Below are 18,568 nucleotides of genomic sequence, written 5' to 3'. Positions count from 1 at the left end.
TCAAAAGGCTTGTTTAAAAACTCAAAGATATAGCAAAGGATACCTTGAAGACAGAAACTTGAATTTGTGTTTAAATGGCTAATGAAAACAAAAACAGTAATTGTAGGTATGCCTCACTATATATAATAAACAAGCCCCTAAAATGTTGTGATCTAATCAAATTGTTTTTCAAATCCATTATAAGCAATGACTACGGGGTTGGGGCGGGGGGGTGGGGGGGCGGTGGACACCATTTGTTTGTGGTTTTTTTTTGTTTTTGGAGACAGAGTCTCATTCTGTTGCCAAGACTGGAGTACACTGGCTGCGCCATCTCAGGTCACTGCAACCTCTGCCTCCCAGGTTCAAGCAATTCTCCCACCCCAGCCTCCTGAGTAGCTGGGATTACAGGTGCCCACCATCACACCCAGCAAGTTTTTGTATTATTAGTAGAAATAGGGTTTCACCATGTTGGCCAGGCTGGTCTCAAACTCCTGACCTCATGTGATCCACCCACCTCGGCCTCCCAAAGTGCTGGGATTACAGGCATGAGCCACCACACCCGACCTTGTTTTTCAATTGTTCAGGAATTGTCCTGAAAAGTATACAATACTCATGGTTGTAATCTTGTCTCTAATTTTTATGTTTTCCAAGTATGAGTTTTCATAAACAGGTTTTCTCTAAAAGACTCCCTTGCTACCTTTTACCTTAAATGAGCAACTTAATAGCAGACCATATTTGTCCTAAAATATATTTTTCCCCACACACCTGCTGACTCTGTGGTTACTCTCATTAATAACTACAGCTTACCTGAAACAAATGTCTAACATGGCTCAATATTAACAAGTATGTATTTACTACAAATTATAGCTATTATAAATTTCAACACTAATATGTACATAATATGAACCACACCCTACTCATAACCTTAAAATACCTTAAGTGAAAGGTCAAACCTGGTTTCCTCTCTAAAATCACCATTCCTATTTCTATCACAGTTCAGTAAAAACCTACAGTGGTACAATTTTGGTTTTCTCTTGATTTTGTTCTTGATATGTTCAAGTAATGCTACAGCAATTTGAAAAGCTTACTCCACGTTTAACAGAGAAAGAAGGCATTTAGTAATCTTACCATTTTTTTAATTACTTGAAAAGTGGATGCAGTTACAAAAGGCCAACACCAAGAATTCCTGTGGTGACAGAACAGTTTTTGCATCTTGACTGTATCACTATCAATAACCTAGTTGTGATACTGTACTAATTTTTCAAGGTGCTATTATTGCAGGAAACTGGGTAAAGGGTATATAGAATCTCTGTATAGTTTCTTACAACTGCATATGAATCTACAACTATCTAAAAATAGAAATACTGAAGAGTAATTTAATGAGAATTCATTTTTCTGGCCCTATGTCAATATTTTCAAAAAGCCTGTAAGTACATCTAAAAATAACCCCCCGCCCCACAAAAAAAGATCAGTAACTGAAAAATGAAAAACTGTATTCCTTTTTAAAAATTAAGAGCCAGAAAATACTTCCTACAATTATCTCTGAAAATTTTGGGCAAAAAGAAACTATACTGTTACAAACGTCTGAATTCAATAAGAAAAAGTGAAGCTTTACTTAATAGTTAAAATGACATTCTAGATAGAAACACCAGAGAGATGCTCAATATCTACAGATGGCTTACAAAATGACAACATCCCTTACTACTTGGATTCAAAAACAAAGGAAATTTTCAGATATCATACAAACAATCTACTAAAAACTAACCCAAAATCACAATCTAGACATACACACTCAAACCCCGAAGTTGAGGACATGGATTTAAACATCTGAACCATTTCCATTTTGTCAATCCTTTTAACCAACTTTCCTTCTATACACTGCCCTTTGTTTCTATACACTGCCCTAATTAGAGTGCCTGACCTTTCACTCCTACAGAAAGAAAAGTTTCTCTCAAGGTCACTTTAGGAACACTTCACAGAGCCTATCATACCAAGTGAACAAATTCACTCTCACCATAACGTGAAGAAAATTTTAACACCCTGATGAAGGAATAACATAACAGATCCTCAAGACAAATTAGTAGTAGTAAACACACCTTTATCTTTTCCAGAGTGACTTCCGACACTCATAAATAACTCAGCCATGATGAGTTATTTGTTTTGCTTCAGGAATAAGATTAAAGATAACATCACATGCTATAGTATATATTCTTTCAGCTAAAAAAGCTTCTGAAAGTATTATATATCGTTTCTCAAAAACAGCCCACTGTGAAATTGAGTCTTCCTCAAAAAGGACAAATAAGAAAGGAAATTACAATACCTGACTATAAACTCTAGTTTTCATAAGTCAAATGGCATGTAGTTTTTATAAATGTTACTCCAAAGACAAAACAGAAAACAAACAAAAAACCCTAATCTTTACTACAGCAGCTCTTCAAAAGGAAAGTCAGATCTTTAGCTCCTTAATAGCTGCAAATACATAGGCATTAGAGTGTATTACATAATATCCTTTGAAATCAGGGCAGAAGGTTATTCAAATGTCAATAAGGTATATAAATATAAAATATATAAGTAAAATAATGTTACTATACCAATTTCTTTTAGACATTCCCTTTAAGAACTGGCCACAGAAAAATTATATCTACCAGTACATCTTGATTTGAAAAAAAATCACATGGCATTTTCTCTTCCCCAAATTCAAATCCATTCACTAATTAAAAGTCACAGCTTTTTTATTACAATTTTTTGTAGCATTTAAAACAAAACACACAGATAAATATTGCTAAGTCCACTGACTACAGGTGTGTAAGTTCAAACCTTTCAATGGATAACAAATCTAACTTTTAAAACTAAAAGTTCCTACTCCAAATAATCAAATATGGTGACCATTCGCAATGTAGAAAAATAATTTTTTCTTTGTGCAATGCAACGTACTGAAGTCCAAAAATTGCTCCAATGCCATGCTTATAATCTATATCCCAGTTCACATACTTTTTAATTTCACAGACTACATAAATCCTTCTTAAGTTTAAAAAGTGAAATAAATGTAATTGCCTTTATTCTAAAAATAGAATGCACTTCTAACAGCAAGTTCCTGGAGTTCATGTTATTGTATCAGTGACTGTCCAGTTATATATATTTACCATAACTTAAGCTGGAACAGTAGGCAACAGTAATATCAAGACTCATTTTTAAAAAATACTAAGCATCATCTACTATGTATTAGTCAAAGTAAATCTGAAGGTTCCTGAGAATGAATTATTAGTTGCAAAAATGAGATGTATCAACACCAGTAAAGAAATACAGCCATCTTCTACAACTTTAAGATTATTAAATTTTCTCCCCCCTCCCCAAAAAGTAACAATTTTCAAATGATTACCAGTAAAAGGAAGGAGGTGAGAGAAGAGTTGGGACTTGCCTATCGTTTCATGATGTCCTTTTGATCAAGAATAATACTAGTCTTTACCCTACTTAAAATCCAAAAAATGCCTTCATTTCACTTACTTAAGATGATTAAGGACATGCTATACTTTCCCCATAAGCTCTAATTTCATAATTAAAAATGAATTTTAATAAATTAGTATACAATTTTTAAAAACAAACTTTTTAGAATGTAAAGTGGTATAAAGTGTTTAGGTGGTTATGAAATTAACCTTATTTTCTGATGTTTTATTCTCACAGTATTTTAAGAAACCAACTATCATTTTACCAGGGGAAATAAAAAGCACCCATCAAAGAGGCATTACTGAGTTTCAGCCCAGAGATTTGACAGTTGGTTTTCTTAAGATGATGCTGTCATGGCTTTAGTTATTTTTTTCATCTCTTAAGCACAAAGAAATAAATTTAAATTAAATAAAAAGTTACAGCTTTTGCACACTGGAATGGACCTTCCTTCTAAAATATTTTTAAATTATGAGTTTTTAAAAGTTAAAAAAAGAAAAAATGCATACTTAAGAAAAATGGGATGTTTTAAAATGGAGCACAGTAGTCATAAATGTATTGAAAGTAAATTTAAAGACAAGATCACTAGTGTGTAGATCTACTTTAACTTACTCTAAACATTATCATAATGTAATCTGGATATAGGAAAGGATTCAGTCATCTAATACTTATCATTTAAAAATAAATCTAAGTTTCTATTCATTTTGAAAATTTACCCCACTAACATTTTAAATAATTGTAAACGAAACTACTGATTTCCTACAGATTTCTGAGGGAACTGTCATCTTTTAAAATTAATAAATCTTACTAATTATCACTTGACTCAATTCCATCTTTTATATACATATATTCAATAATATTTAAATGTTATGCTTTCTATTTTTCTACTAAAATGTATCACACCACCAAAATATGAGTCTTTAGTTTAAGACATCATCTTACCTGATCCACTGAATTGACTGCTTCCCAGTGTAGTTGGTCTAGTTTTCCCACTATTAACAGGTGGGGAAAACATCTGCAAAATAACCCAAATATATCTGTTAGTCCTGAAATTCTTCTAGATTCCTTGCAAACAAAAGTCCACCAAAAGTCATCCATCAGTTATTAAATTTCAGAGGGAAGTTAAAATAAAATTGGAGATACATTCAGATCCAGAGAGGCAAATACACTGAATGATACTATTTCCTAATTAATTGGAAATAATGGTTACATTTTGTTCTGAAGACCCGATCATTTACATGGAAGAGTCCAAGATTATTAAGTTTAAACAGTATAGTATTACACATGATCTTTACTGCAGAACTAAGTGAATTTCATTACATTTACATTATATCTCAATATACACAGTCAGAATTATGGCCCATTAAATTACTACATACAGTAAGGATTATAACTGAATTGTATAAAGCAGGTATAGGTGCTGCCTCCTAACAGCAGTTAATAAAGGAATTAAACCCATTAAAAATAAAAGCAGTGGGCCCTTAGGTTTCAGTTGATGTTTTTAAGTCATTTCCCATGTTAAGAACATAATACACACACACACACACACACACGTGTGTGTGTGTATAAAATAAAAGTACTCTGTTTCAGAAGGCTCGAAATTCTAGCTCTGGACTACTTTTCTTGTCGCTGACATCTTTCAGGTACCATAAACTACATCTGATACTGGAGAGGAAAATGGTGAGGAGTACTGAAGAAAAAAACAACACTTTTTCATATAAAGTACAAGATCCCCAATAATCATCGCGGTGGGAGGGTGACTCAACCAAAGGTCATAATTACATTGTTCTCCTTTTAACTGGTTAAATCAAATGACCCCTCTGGCATTAAAGTTTTAAATGTGCAAGTCTAGACATTACATCAAAGTTCAGGTGTCCAACTTGGGGGAGCTGGACTCCAGCCCTGAGAACTACTGCTTAAGCAGAAAGCAGATGGAGTTCACGCTGCCTAGTCTCCACGTTGCTTCCCCTCACCCTTTATTTAAAAGAAACAAACAAACAAACAAACAAAAACCTCAGCAGAACCCCAAGATGCCATGGAAAGCTCTCATACCGCACTGAAGTCCAGTAGGTCGCTCAGCTCCTTGTCGGTCCCTATAGCGGCCATGCGTTGTTGCTGGGGATTCATCTTCGGCCACTTCTAGCAGGTCCTAGGGCAGAGGAAACGGGCTCAGCGAGAGACCACCGAGGCCCAAAGTGTGTGAGGGAACAGAGAGAGGTACTGGGGAAGATTACGCAAGAGCGCTGGGGGCGCCGGGATGACTTCCAGGACCCCGACTCGCTCCCACCGCGGCGCGAGCAAGGGGCGGGAGGGCTCAGTGCCCGCGCCGGGTCCCGGAATCCACGCGTTCCTCGCCGCGGCCCGAGATCGACGCGGCGGCTCCCGCAACTCGCCGCCTCTCCCCCAAGTTTCCGAGCCAGTCTCTGCCACCTCCTCGGCGCCCCCTGCTCCGCGCCGCCGCCGGGTGCTCCGCGCGCCGGGCCCGGCCGCGGCTGGGGTCTCGAGGAGCGGGGTGAGGGGCAATTCGGCGTCCAGCGAGCGGAGCGGCGGCGAGCGGAGATGCGAAGTGACTCACTCGCTCGGCAACAATAGAACTGACAAGTTGCAGGGAACGCGCCGCTCGCAGGCCCGCGTCTGCGGCCGCCGCCGCCCGGACGTCCCCGGCGGGCCCAGGAGGTCGGAAAGCACCCCCAGCTCATCCAAGGGGCGTTTTTAAACAGAAAACAGAAACCCCGACAACTAGTCTCGCTCTCGGCCGGCGTCCTCCTCCCCAGGCTCGGCCTCCTCCCACTTTTGCTGCCCTGCCCCGGACCTGCCGAACAATGAGCCTGGCTCCGCGGCCGAAGCCGCCCGATCTCCCGCGCGCCCCGGAGCCTGGGCGCCGGCCCGAGTCGGGCACCGAACGGGGCGCACAGGCCGAGCGCGCCGCCAGCGGGCCTGAGCGCCCGCGACTCGAGCCTCCGCCCCCACTCCGCTCCCCAACTTGGAGGGGACCCCGGGTTTCGCGCTGTACAAAGGGGCGCGGAGTTGAGGCGGGGGACGGGGGCGCCCCCACTCCGGCAGGGACGCGGCGGCGCCCCGCAGCCCCCAGCCCCGCCGCGCCGCCCCACTCCCGCTCGCTAGCCCGCAATTACCTGCCGCCCCGTCTCCGCATCCAACCACCCCGATTAAAGTTCACTTTGGCCGGGAGAACGGGCTTGGGCTTCCCCTTGCACCGCCCAGCGGCTCGGTTCACTTTGCCCCGCACGAGCTCTCGGGTCTGGGAGGGGGAGGCGGCTTTCGGGCCTGGCCGCCCCTTCCTCCCGGGGCGGGCTGTCGGTCCCCCCGAATAGAACTTGTGGGTCTCTTCAGGCGGACATTTTTTTCGCTGAGGCGGCCTCACCACCGCGCTCGGCTCGCCTCCGGATCCCTCCGCGCCGGGAAGAGCCGCGGGTTAACCCTTCCCTCCCCGACCCGCTCCGCCGCCTAGGAAGTGGGGCCGGCAGAGGGGGCGGGGAGGAGCTGTCGGGGACTGGGAGGAGCCGCACCGCGGCGGGTGGACAAAGCCCGCGGTCGGGTGAGGCGGGACGGAGTTGGGGCCGGTGGGGAGGGGCATGAGGCGCTCGCAGGCACCTCGAGAAGCAGGCCCCGACCGCTCGCCGACGAAGCCTCGTCCGGGCCTCCTGGGAGCGGGGTGGCAGGTACCGTGGCGCCTCCTCGCGTTGGTCTTGCTGGTTCTCGGCCCCCGAAGCGGAGCGACGGAGACACAGCTGTGGAAGCATCTGGATCCGCTGCCCAGGTCCCCGAGCTTCCCGGAACCCGAGGCCGCAGGACACTGAAGGCTGCCATTCCCGAGTAGGTCACGCTGGACGCCACCCTAAGCTGGGCCCAGAGGCTCCCGTCCAGGAGGGCTGCAGTCGGCGCAGACACCGCGCGTGTGGAGACGGGAGACCCATCCTCCTCGGCCGTTCCGAGAGTAGGCGCGGCCGGTCAGATTCGATGCAGAGCCGAATGCGGGAGAAAGGGCAAAACGTACCTCAAACCAGACAAAGCCTTGTGAGCTTCAGGTTCTCAAATACCCCACTCACCCAGACCCCACATCTCCAGTCAGCCCCTCGCACCCAAATCCCATTCGGAGCAACCGAACTGCACGTGGGACTAGTTCTTGGGAATGGATCAAGCCAGTCTCTTCATCTAACGGAGACAGCCCTGGGTGGCTCTGTCACACAGCCACTGTCTTGTGCACAAGTTCTGAACTTGGCCTCAGAGAAGCCCCAGAGTAGAAAGAAGACAAAATAAGCCCCAGTTCTTCGATTCTGGGCTGAAGTGAGATTTTCTTGAATGGCAGCCATTGTTTTGCCTCTTAGGTAAGTGAGTGCAGTAAAGACCGGTAAGGCCCACGCAGAAGAAACACTGAGGAAAGAAGACACTTCCAAAGTAACAAATGGGAGGAAGCAGCCAACGCCCGAGGACAACATGGCAAGAAGGAGCCTTTGGATTCCGGACTGGGATGGAAAGAGAGGTAGATTCAGCTACCATATGCCATTACTGTAGTTAGTACAGTTGTCTCTATATCCGTGGGATTGGTTCCCAGACTCTGGATTTTCTAAGATGTTCAAGTCTCTTACATAAAAATGGTGTGTTTCCCCATATACTTTAAATCATATCTAGATTACTTATAAAACCTAATACAATGCAAATGCTATGTGAATAGTTGTTAAGGTGTATTTAGGAAATAATCATCCAAAGAAATCTCTATATTTTCAGTACATTTTCAGGCTATATTTTAGGCTCTATATTTTCATGTATTTTCAGGCCTGGTAAGCCTAACTACATTTTTTGTTTTCAGTTGATTGAATCCCGGAATTTGGAAACCCCAGATACGGAGGGCGGACGGTACAACCGGAGCTGTCAGGTGGATTTCCAAGGCTTTGCATTGGCTGTACCTGAAACTTATGGTGGCCTAGACTCCCCAGTATCCACTCTTCCTTATCTTGGTAAACAAGCCCAGTTCTGAGTCACATCCCTGCTCTGCCTACTTACAGGGGCATGTGGTCCCAATCTAAGCAACGTAGCATAATTCCAACCTAAATCAGCAGAATCCCATTCCCTGCCACAGTTATTGGCTGGCAATGAGCGTAACATATTTGGGCCAATGAGAGGAGCAATTTCCTGGTCTTTGTTGGGAAAAGTTTTTCTTTCATTTTCTGAGAGCGCTTCAGAGGTAACCCATTCTTTCTGCATGTCCTCAAAAAAACGGGTCCCCTGGATGGTGGGTAGCCATCTTCCAAATACAAGTCTAGCCGGGTTAAAATAAAGAAGACATCAAGAAAACAAACATGCATAGAGATCTGATCTTTGGTGACTTTTTTTTTTTTTTTTTTTGAGATGTAGTCTGGCTCTGTCACCAGGCTGGAGTGTGGTGGCAGGATCTCGGCTCACTGCAACCTCCGCCTCCCAGGTTCAAGCGATTCTCCTGCCTCAGCCTCCCAAATAGCAGGGATTACAGGTGCGCGCCACCATGCCCAACTAATTTTTTATTTTTTTAGTAGAGTCGTGGTTTCACCATGTTGGCCAGGCTGGTCTGGAATTCCTGACCTCAAGTGATCTGCCCTCCTCAGGCTCCCAAAGGGCTGGGATTACAGGCGTGAGCCACCGTGCCTGGCTTTGGTGACATTTTTGAGGCTCTGAATCAAGCAACTTCTGAATTCAGGTCTATCTTCACTGATTAGACCAATAGGATTCGAATTTTCTGTTGTCTGTAATCTAGTGTGGTCTACACAGTACCACCCCAATGACCATTTTTTTAGTAGCAAAGACATAAACGTCAGGTAGGAAGTCTGATTAGATCATTTTTAAGGCCCCATTCCCATGTGTTTTAGTTCATTTTCTCCTACTGCTAACAGAATACCATAGACTGAGTGATTTATAAAGAAGTTTATTTGGCTCATGGTTCTGGAGCCCGGTAAGTCCAAGAGCATGGCACTGGCATCTTTAGAGGGCCTTCTTGCCGTGTTATCCCGTGGCAAGTGAGCACACACAATAGAGAGTAATCCATTCATGAGGGCTCTACCCTCTTAGAAGTTTCTCTTAAAGGTCTCACTTCTCAACACTTTTGCATTGGGGGTTAAGTTGTCAACACATGAACTTTGGGAGACACATTGAAACCATAGCACTGTGATAAGATTCTATGACTCCACAGTAAAACTGGAAAGAAATCTTGCAGAAGGAGAAGGTATGTGATCCCACATGTTGGATTCATGCTGTTTTCAAGATTCTCTTCTCATCCTGCTCACACAACTAGTGCAGAGGAAGAATATCTGTCTGCCCAAACCTTCAGTCATAGGGGCTCCCTCATTACTTAGGGACTGATTGGTGAAGTTTTTCATATCTATTATGGCCCGTATAGTTTTACTTTATAATTTATTTTCCTTATTAGATTGTGAACCCCTTGAGGGTTCGGACTGACATGCATCTGTCAGTACCATGCACCTAACGTAGTGCCAAGAGCATAGTAGACCCAAAAAGGAGGAGCTGGAATTAAAGCTATCATTCATTTGACATTATAACATGAAGTTATTTTTCATAATATAGCCTTTGCTTGTGTCATTTTTAATAAGAGAAAATGATTCCCACCAGTGAATCTCCTATAATAGCTCTGACTTATATAGAAGACAAAAAGAATATAAAAAGTGGAGTTTTGTATCACTTATAACTCATTTCTGGGCCTTTGCTGACACATCTAGATAGGGCCAGAAGCCTTTATTGAAAAGCTCAGAGAGAAACAACTAAGTAATACAAATTCAGTGTTAATTAATAGTACTATTTGTGTAGTATAAGTTAATCCCTATCGATAAGTTAATATTGAAAAGTATTTAATGTGCATTTCTCACATGCCGGGCATGGTGTTAAATGTTTCAGGACAGAAAGTCTAAAACCCATACTGCCCTCAAGAAAGTTATAATCTAATAGATTTTTTTTTTTGAGACAGAGTCTCACTCTATTGCTCAGATTAAAGTGCTGTGGCACAATCTCAGCTCACTGCACGTTTGCCTCCTGGGATTAGGTGATCCTCCCACCTCAGCCTCTGAAATACCTGAGACTACAGGTGCATGCCACCACGCCTGGCTAATTTTTAAATTTTTCTTCATAGAGACAAGGTATCACTATATAGCCCAGGCTGGTCTCAAACTCCTGTGCTCAAGTGCTCCTCTCACCTCAAGCCTCCCAAAGTGCTGGGATTATAGGCATGAGCCACGATGCCCAGCAATCTAATAGAGCTTAGTTCACTGTCCATTCACTGTAATCCACTACTGGACAGACACAGGAATTCTGTCAACATGGTTTCAGCCTCCCCACACACACAACACACACACTTCATCCTTGAACACACATGCATATTTTATGGGACACCAGAGTTGCCCAGAGAAACCTTTATAGTCAAAAGGAAAAGTAGCTAAAGCAATGGGCTTTTTGCTTCCTTGGCAGATTGACTTAACCTTGGACCCTTTTTAGAAGACAAGTATTCTAGGAAGCTAAGAGGAGAAGGAGAGAGAGAAGAGAATCAAGTCAGGTGTTTAGCGGGGGTAGTAAATTACTCTCCGGATGAAGTGACTGGCCTCCTAACGTTATCCACTAAGATCCGAGGTTGACGGCTAGTAGACCGTATGGTAGCTTTCTGCTCTATAGGAGAATAACTGGCCAGGTGCAGTGGCTTATGCCCATAATCCCAGCACTTTGGGAGGCTGAGGCTGGCGGATTGCTTGAGCCCAGGAGTTTCAGACCAGCCTGGGCAATATGGAGAAACCCTGTCTCTACAAAAAATACAAAAAATAGCTGGGCATGGTCGCATGCGCCTGTAGTCTCAGTTACTTGGGAGGCTGAGGCAGGAGGATTGCTTGAGCCCGGGAGGCGGAGGCTGCAGTGAGCCAAGATTGCACCATTGCGCTCCAGCCTGGGCAATGGGAATGAAACTGTCTCAGAAAAGAGAAAAGGAGAATAACTGTCCCCTTGTGACTAACAGGGATAATTTATGTAACAGTGAGTTTAATAAGTATTATCCTCAGTTCATGGCACTACCATCATTGATGAACTAAAAGCCAAGACTTTTTACTCTCTCATGAGCCAAATTCTACTAATGACCAACCATCTACTCTCCGCATTCTTTTCCACCAGCCAGCAAGAACCTCCCACTGTTGTGGTATTTCCTGGTAGAGATTTCGTCTTTTCCCTCTGAATGTTGATAGATAAAAATAGTTCTCTACTCCTTGCCAATATCATTTTTATCCACTATTTAAGACACTTAGATGGCTTATATGAATGCTATATTCAGATATGAGGACATGCCCCCCCCAATTGTCACTCAATATCTTTTACACTCAGTATCTTTTTCCCCTTTAGAATCTCCTTTCATATTTTATAAAAACACACATTTACACCAAAATCGAGACAAATTCAGAGGCCAGGAAAGGAAAAAAACTGCTAAACAATCTAGAGCATCAAACTTGGAGAGATATTTCCATTTTTTTAACTTAGTAGAGTTAATCAGAAAAAATGAATTAATAACCTTTTTCCATATTTCTGTGTGTATCTTGGCACAGTGCCTAGCAAGTAGTAAATTGCTCAAAAAACATGTGTTGAGAAATGAATTGTTATTCACTTCTAGGTAGAGATGGCAGTTGAACACATGCTCCAAATTTTGTTCCTTCCCAAAACCACACTAAGACATCAGTAATGAAATTTTCAAAACAATTTTTTTTTCAGACAGGATTTTGCTCTGTCGCTCAGGCTAGAGTACAGTAGTGCAGTCACGGCTCACTGCAGCCTCGACCTTCTGGGCTCAAGGAATCCTCCAACCTCAGCCTCCTGAGTAGCTAGCATCACAGGCGCACACCACCATACCCAGCTAATTTTTGTATTTTTTTGTAGAGACAGAGTTTCACCATGTTGCCCAGGCTGGTCTCAAACTCCTGGGCTCAGGTGATCTGCCTGCCTCAGCCTCCCTAAGTGCTGGAATTACAGGCGTGAGCCACTGCACCTGGTCCCCCAAATGTTTTGTTTGTTTTTTGTTTTTTGTTTTAGACAGTGTCACGCTCTGTTGCAGGCTGAAGTGCAACGGCGCAATCTCGGCTCACTGCAACCTCCACCCACCAAGTTCAAGCGATTATCATGTCCCAGCCTCCTGAATAGCTGGGATTATAGGCGCCCGCCACCACGCCCGTCTAATTTTTTGTATTTTTAATAGAGACGGGGTTTTGCCATGTTGTCCAGGTTGGTCACGAACTCCTGACCTCAGGTGATCTGCCCACCTCGGCTTCCCAAAATGCTGGGATTACCGGTGTGAGCCACTGCGCCTGGCCATATTGGGTACCTTTTTAAGGAAGGAGTGCCGGACTCATGTGCTTGTAATGGCATGATGGAAGTCAGCTTACATATTTAGAGATTTGTGTAGGCTACTCCCACAGATTAAGGATTAATTATTTCCAAAATAGATGCTCTAAGAAAAAAATCAAAAAGCAAAGAATACTTACCACATCAAAGCACCTGAAAAAATCCTCCCTTTTGCCAGTAAAGTAAAACTTGTACAGACTAAAAACTTAAGTATTTGGTGACTTGCCAGTCATATGATGAGAATAGGGAAAGGATAGCTGTTGTTAAAAGAATTGTTGGATGCAGTGGCTTATGCCTGTGATTCCAGCACTTTGGGAGGCCGAGGTGGGTGAATGGCTTGGGCCCAGGAGTTCAAGACCAGCCTGAGAAACAGGGAAACCCTGTCTCTACAAAAAATTTTAAAATTAGCTGGGCATGATGGCAGATGCCTGTAGTCCCAGCTACTCAGGAGACTGAGGCAGGAGAATCGCTTGAGCATGTCCTTTAATACCACAAAAAAAGTCCTTTAATGTAGTATGGTTGTTTAACATAGTGGCCCACACCTGTAATCCCAGTACTTTGGGAGGCCAAGGGGAGGATTGCTTGAGCCCACGAGTTTGAAACCAGCCTGGGCAACATGGCAAGACCCCATCTCTACAAAAAATTTTTAAAATTTAGCTGGATATGGTAGCATGCACCTGTGGTTGCAGGTATCTGGGAGGCTGAGGCGAGAGGATTGTTGGAGCCCAGGAGGCTGAATCTGCAGTGAGCTGTGTTTGCACTACTGCAGTCTGCCCTGGGTGACAGAGTGAGACTTTGTCTCAAAAAAAAAAAAAAGTTGTTTAAAAAGATGATGGTCATTCATCATCTTGGACTATGACAAATATCCACTACCATTCTTTTGCAGGTTTGGTTGTAAAGGTGGTCAGTAGAAAGTTATGAATGATGATTTAATTTAATTTTTCAAAAGCTTGAGTCCTTATAAATTCAGCTGCTATTTTGTAGACTCCTGACTGCCTCTGCCATTAATTTATTCTTTCAGTTTTTCATCAATTGAATAAATATATATTAAGTACATACTTTGTGCCAGAACTGTCTTCTATGCTTGGACTATACTAATGAAAAACTAGAAAAAAAAATCCTGTCTCCATGGAGCTTACATTCTAATGGGTTGTCTTCAGTCCCTGTTGGTACTCAACATCAGTTTTCAAACTTTTAAATTCCAAACAAGGACAGGTTAAATGGGTAGAGCAGAATAAGAAATCTAGTCTTTTTTCAGATTTAGAATAAGTTCTGTTTGTTGGCTTAGTTCCTAGGCACCTGGCTTTTCTTTCCTTTTCTTTTTTTTTTTTGACACAGAATCCCACTCTGTCACCCAGGCTGGAGTGCAGTGGTGCAGTCTCGGCTCACTGCAACCTCTGACTCCCAGGTTCAAGCAATTCTCTTGCCTCAGCCTCCTAAGCAGCTGGGATTACAGGCGCCTACCACCAAGCCTGGCTAATTTTTTTGTATTTTTAGTAGAGATGCGGTTGTTGGCCAGGCTGGTCTTGAACTCCTGACCTCAGGTGATCCGCCCACCTCAGCCGCCCAAAGTGCTGGGATTACCAGTGTGAGCCACCTCACCGGGTCTGCACCTGCCTTTTCAAATACGTGGCAGGGATGCATTCCAAAAAGTATTTAGTGTTTGGAATGCTTCTCTCATTCTAGTGAGTAACGTGAGAGCTAGCTATTAGAAATGTGCATATTGGAAGGTGGGCGTGGTGGTGCACATTTCTTGTCCCAGCTATGCTGAAGGCTGAGGTGGGAGGATTGCTTGAGCCCAGGAATTGGAGGCTGTAGTGTGCTGTGACTGCACTTATGATAGCCACTGCACTCCAACCTGGGTGACAGAGCGAGACTCCGTCTCAAAAAAAAAAAAAAAGAATCTTTGAAAGTCTCGTTCCATTGCCCGCTTGCTTCCAATGTTGTTGTAAAACAATGGATTCCATTTTTTACTTTCAGTCCTTTCTATTTGTCTTCTTTTGTGTCCTGTCTGGAAGCTTAAAGGTCTTCTCTTTGTCTGCTGTGTATTCAGATTTCCTGATCACAGACTTTGGTGTAGATCTATTTTTATCCATTGTGGTGTCCACTTGATGAATTCATTCAATTTGGTAATTTATACTTCAATTCAGAGAATTTTTCTTAGATTATTTCATTTACTTTTTTTTTTTCTGAGCTCTTACTATTTGAATTCTGAACTTCTTGAACTGGTCTTCTCTGTCTTTCTGCTTAAATTTCCTTAATTTTCTTTTCTAATCTTTTTTTTTTCATTTCTACTTTTCTATTTTCTTTTCTTTTGCTTTTTCTTTATTTTTATTTTTATTTTTTTAAGTAGATACAGGATTTCACTGGTTTTGCCCAGGCTGGTCCCAAACTCCTGAGCTCAGGAAATCCATCCACCTCGGCCTCCCAAAATGTTAGGATTACAGGCATGGGCCACCATGCCCAGCCTCCTATTTTCAATCCTAAGGCTCTTTTTTTAATATCCTGAACACTATTTCTTCTTTTTAAAAAAAATTATTCTGTCTGCTTTTGTTTCATGGTTGCAACTTTCTCCTGACTACATATATATGTATGTATCTCACATGTAACTCTAGAAATAGTAAATATGTCTAACTGTATATAGTTTTATTTTCCTTCTTTAGTCTCTGTTTTCACCAATTCACTTTTTGTTATTTCAATTTCTCTCTCCCACAAGAGAGACTTCCCTCAAACTTCTGATATTCGTTGGCTGTGTGTAATATTTAAGAATCGGGCAGCAAAATGCTGATGGTGGGTGCCTGTAATCCCAGCCACTCAGGAGGCCGAGGCAGGAGAATCACTTGGACCCAGGAGGCAGAGGTTTCAGTGAGCCGAGATTGCGCCATTGCACTCCAGTCTGGGAGACAAGAGCGAAACTCCGTCTCAAAAAAAAAAAGAAAAAGAAAAAGAAAAAAAAAAAAGACACCCAATACCAGAACCCTGCAGAAGGGAAAAGATGGCGCTGAATACATGAATACACAGAACTAGGCCTGAGATTTTCATGGGAATAAGAAAATTCTTTCTTGGTTTCCTCAACTCTTCTTGTGATCTCAACTATCTTACTTCTGAAAACAAGCAAATAGATATCACTTAGAACAGTGGTTCTCATATTGTGATTCTTGGATGAGTAGTATTACTATCACCTGGCAACTAATTAGAAATCCAAATTTTGGGGCTCCATTCAAGACCTACTCAGTGAGTAGAACTCCATTCCAGAAATTCTGAGGGTTGGGCTAGCAACCTATTTTTGTTTGTTTGTTTTTTGAGACTAGACGGAGTCTCGCTCTGTCACTCACGCTAGAGTGCAGTGGCCCAATCTCAGCTCACTGCAACCTCCCCTCCTGGGTTCAAGAGATTCTCCTGCCTCAGCCTCCCGAGTAGCTGGGACTACAGGCGCATGCCACCATACCTGGCTAATCTTTGTATTTTTAGTAGAGACAGGGTTTCACCATGTTGGCCAGGATGGTCTCAATCTCTTGACCTTGTGATCCGCCCGTCTAGGCTTCCCAAAGTGCTGGGATTACAGGTGTGAGCCCCCGCGCCCTGCTGCAACCTATTTTTTAACAAGCCCTCCCTGTGATTCTGATGCCCACTAAAGTTTGAGAAACAATATCTTTAGAGTAGTGGCCCTGTGAGGTCCTTAACAGCTCAGGAAAATTAAGATGAACCTAAGTCGGGCTACCAGAGTAGATACCTTGAATAGATAAAGACTATTGGAGAGATGTACTTAACAAAATACAGCAACGCTAAAAGGAATAAAAATGCATTTAAATTAACCTTTTTTTTTTTCTTTGAGACAGGATCTTGCTCTGTTGCCCAGGCTGGAGTACAGTGGTGCAATCATGGCTCACTGCAGCTTCTAACTCCTGGGCTCAAGCAATCCTCCTGCCTCAGCCTCCCAAGTAGATGGAACCACAGGCATGCGCCACCATGCCCAGCTAATTTTTGTATTTTGTGTAGCGAGTTCTCACTATATTGCCCAGGCTGGTTAAATTAACCATTTTTAAATAGTTGCTAAAAGCAAAAGTTATTACTGGTGAAAAGTCCAGAAAAAGGACACTATGTGACACCAAGTTCAGCTCTCACCACATGTCAGATCTTGTAAATGTTTTCTTACAAGTCACTGGCATCTTAGGCAAATTCAATCTATTATAATAGTCAATCTGTTGTCTATTTGAACATTCATCAAAAAATCATGGTCAGTATTCTCAAATTCTTAGTTGCATATGATCAGTTTCCTTCAACCAGGAGTTCTTCAAGGGTAAAGGTTTATATTGTATTTATTTTTTCTTATTAATAAATGTGTCTTCCTTCTAATGCCAATAATCTCTCAGTAATTGTTTATTAATTAAATGAGAAATTGTATTTTCAGTGAAAGTTACCTTGTCTTGATTCCCCTGGGTGATTTCATAAAAATGAATTGATTGATTTGGATTAGATGATTTAAATTGCACTTAATTATTGACACTTTTATTTAAGAAGAGTTAGGGAACAATTGTTCTTATATATGCAGAAATATTTTATTTGGGGATCATCTGTTGAATTTCTAATTTCACTCCACTGGCATTTTTATGCAATTACACATTAAGTTTTTGTGATTGGGACATTCTTCTTTAAATTTGAGATGTCTTAGTATAATTTTCCTATTCATTTGCATTATAAGCCTATTGGAGTTTTTTTTTTTTTAATTGTTTCTAATCTTTAAACGTTAAGCTTAAATGTTCACCTTAAACCTTCAAACTGTGTTCAGTAGCACAATGAAAGAATGCCATTGAATATTTTAAACATCTTTTACATGGAGGGATATCAACTTCCTCTGGAATTGGGAACGAAAGCTGAGGAAAATAGTGGTTGAGATTTGCTCATTATTTCCTGGGTCTTTGGCTACCCTCTTCCACTCTATTTCTAATGATCTGATATGTTCCATCTTGACATTATTCAAGTTTTCATAAAGTATGCTTGGTGGGATTAAAACTGCCAAATATATAAATTTTCTTTGCTTTCTAAATCTGAGTTGCATTTAGTCTTTAGATATGACTTAAAATAGAATTAAAGAAAGTGAAAATGAAAGCATTAATAATCATCTAGAATATACTTTCATTTACTTCAGTAACATTTTTATTTGAACAAGGGATTTAGTATTTTATTTCCCTTTTAGCCAAATAATGCAGTTTTCTTAGAAATGTAGCTTCATTACATTCATTTGTTGAATCAAAAGTGCTCTGATTTGTTTTTCCAATGAACCCTCTAAGAACAGAAGCGTTAGTCTATAAGAAAAAACTCTACCTTGGCTCTCCCAAAGTGCTCCTGTATTGACTTGTGTGACTGTCAGTCACACTTGAATGAAGCTCACGATGCTAATGAGAAATCAAAATCATAGGCTTATCCCCAAAGGATCCGTTAACTTCTCTCAGAGAAGCAAGGGTCTCTTCACACAGATCAGTCTTCTGTTCCTGACCACCTCAAAAGGTATTGGTCCCAGAAGGACAAAGCACAAGAATGTGGCTGGCCCATCAATAACATCCATGTTGTTTTTTTGCTCCATCTGTAAATTGAACTGATTTGCAGCTAGGTACACACGTAGGGGACTTAAAAGAACTATCTGAAACATTAGGATGATTAGCATGAAGTAATAGGTAAAACAGTGGGGGTGGGGAGGAACACATATGCTCAAGTGGGAACTTGTTCTCTGCATTTCAAAGATGCCAGTGCAATGTTCTTAAAACCTGACTCTTTTAGT

At 42.0% G+C, this 18,568-nt stretch overlaps 1 protein-coding gene and 1 long non-coding RNA gene across 25 annotated transcripts in view, besides 5 other annotated features; one reads left to right on the top strand and one right to left on the bottom strand.

Moving 5' to 3' along the window:
• The window catches only part of TCF12 (transcription factor 12), a 373,221-nt gene extending 365,850 nt beyond the window's left edge, over positions 1–7,371 (bottom strand). For 17 of the 24 annotated variants that reach the window (XM_011521960.4, XM_047432971.1, XM_047432972.1 and 14 more), the window contains exons 1-3: positions 6,555–6,817; positions 5,473–5,569; positions 4,363–4,435 (exon numbers count right to left, since the gene is read on the bottom strand). In XM_011521960.4, coding sequence (XP_011520262.1) covers positions 4,363–4,435; positions 5,473–5,547 — 148 coding nt within the window. In that variant the 5' untranslated portion in view covers positions 5,548–5,569; positions 6,555–6,817. Of the gene's footprint in view, positions 1–4,362; positions 4,436–5,472; positions 6,017–6,232; positions 6,375–6,554; positions 6,818–7,104 lie in introns of those variants that run through there. The other 7 variants (NM_207036.2, NM_207038.2, NM_001322162.2 and 4 more) reach the window with 4 other exon arrangements.
• Positions 5,778–6,217: a silencer, noted in NCBI's record as "silent region_6472". NCBI's record gives its function as "represses an Ori minimal core promoter by ATAC-STARR-seq in GM12878 lymphoblastoid cells {active_cell/tissue: GM12878}" and the evidence as "EXISTENCE:reporter gene assay evidence [ECO:0000049][PMID:35858748]".
• Positions 6,268–6,557: a silencer, noted in NCBI's record as "silent region_6471". NCBI's record gives its function as "represses an Ori minimal core promoter by ATAC-STARR-seq in GM12878 lymphoblastoid cells {active_cell/tissue: GM12878}" and the evidence as "EXISTENCE:reporter gene assay evidence [ECO:0000049][PMID:35858748]".
• Positions 6,648–6,697: a silencer, noted in NCBI's record as "silent region_6470". NCBI's record gives its function as "represses an Ori minimal core promoter by ATAC-STARR-seq in GM12878 lymphoblastoid cells {active_cell/tissue: GM12878}" and the evidence as "EXISTENCE:reporter gene assay evidence [ECO:0000049][PMID:35858748]".
• Positions 6,868–6,997: a silencer, noted in NCBI's record as "silent region_6469". NCBI's record gives its function as "represses an Ori minimal core promoter by ATAC-STARR-seq in GM12878 lymphoblastoid cells {active_cell/tissue: GM12878}" and the evidence as "EXISTENCE:reporter gene assay evidence [ECO:0000049][PMID:35858748]".
• The window catches only part of TCF12-DT (TCF12 divergent transcript), a 32,330-nt gene continuing 20,723 nt past the window's right edge, over positions 6,962–18,568 (top strand). The window contains exons 1-2 of the long non-coding RNA NR_015419.2: positions 6,962–7,921; positions 8,249–8,396. This is a non-coding gene — a long non-coding RNA (TCF12 divergent transcript). The remainder of the gene's footprint in view (positions 7,922–8,248; positions 8,397–18,568) is intronic.
• Positions 7,518–7,657: a silencer, noted in NCBI's record as "silent region_6468". NCBI's record gives its function as "represses an Ori minimal core promoter by ATAC-STARR-seq in GM12878 lymphoblastoid cells {active_cell/tissue: GM12878}" and the evidence as "EXISTENCE:reporter gene assay evidence [ECO:0000049][PMID:35858748]".

The sequence above is a fragment of the Homo sapiens genome, chromosome 15 (genome assembly GCF_000001405.40).
Source record: "Homo sapiens chromosome 15, GRCh38.p14 Primary Assembly".
NCBI lineage: Eukaryota > Metazoa > Chordata > Mammalia > Primates > Hominidae > Homo > Homo sapiens.
The sequence above is the reverse complement of the archived record's forward strand: the minus strand, read 5'-3'. Positions and strand labels throughout refer to the sequence as shown.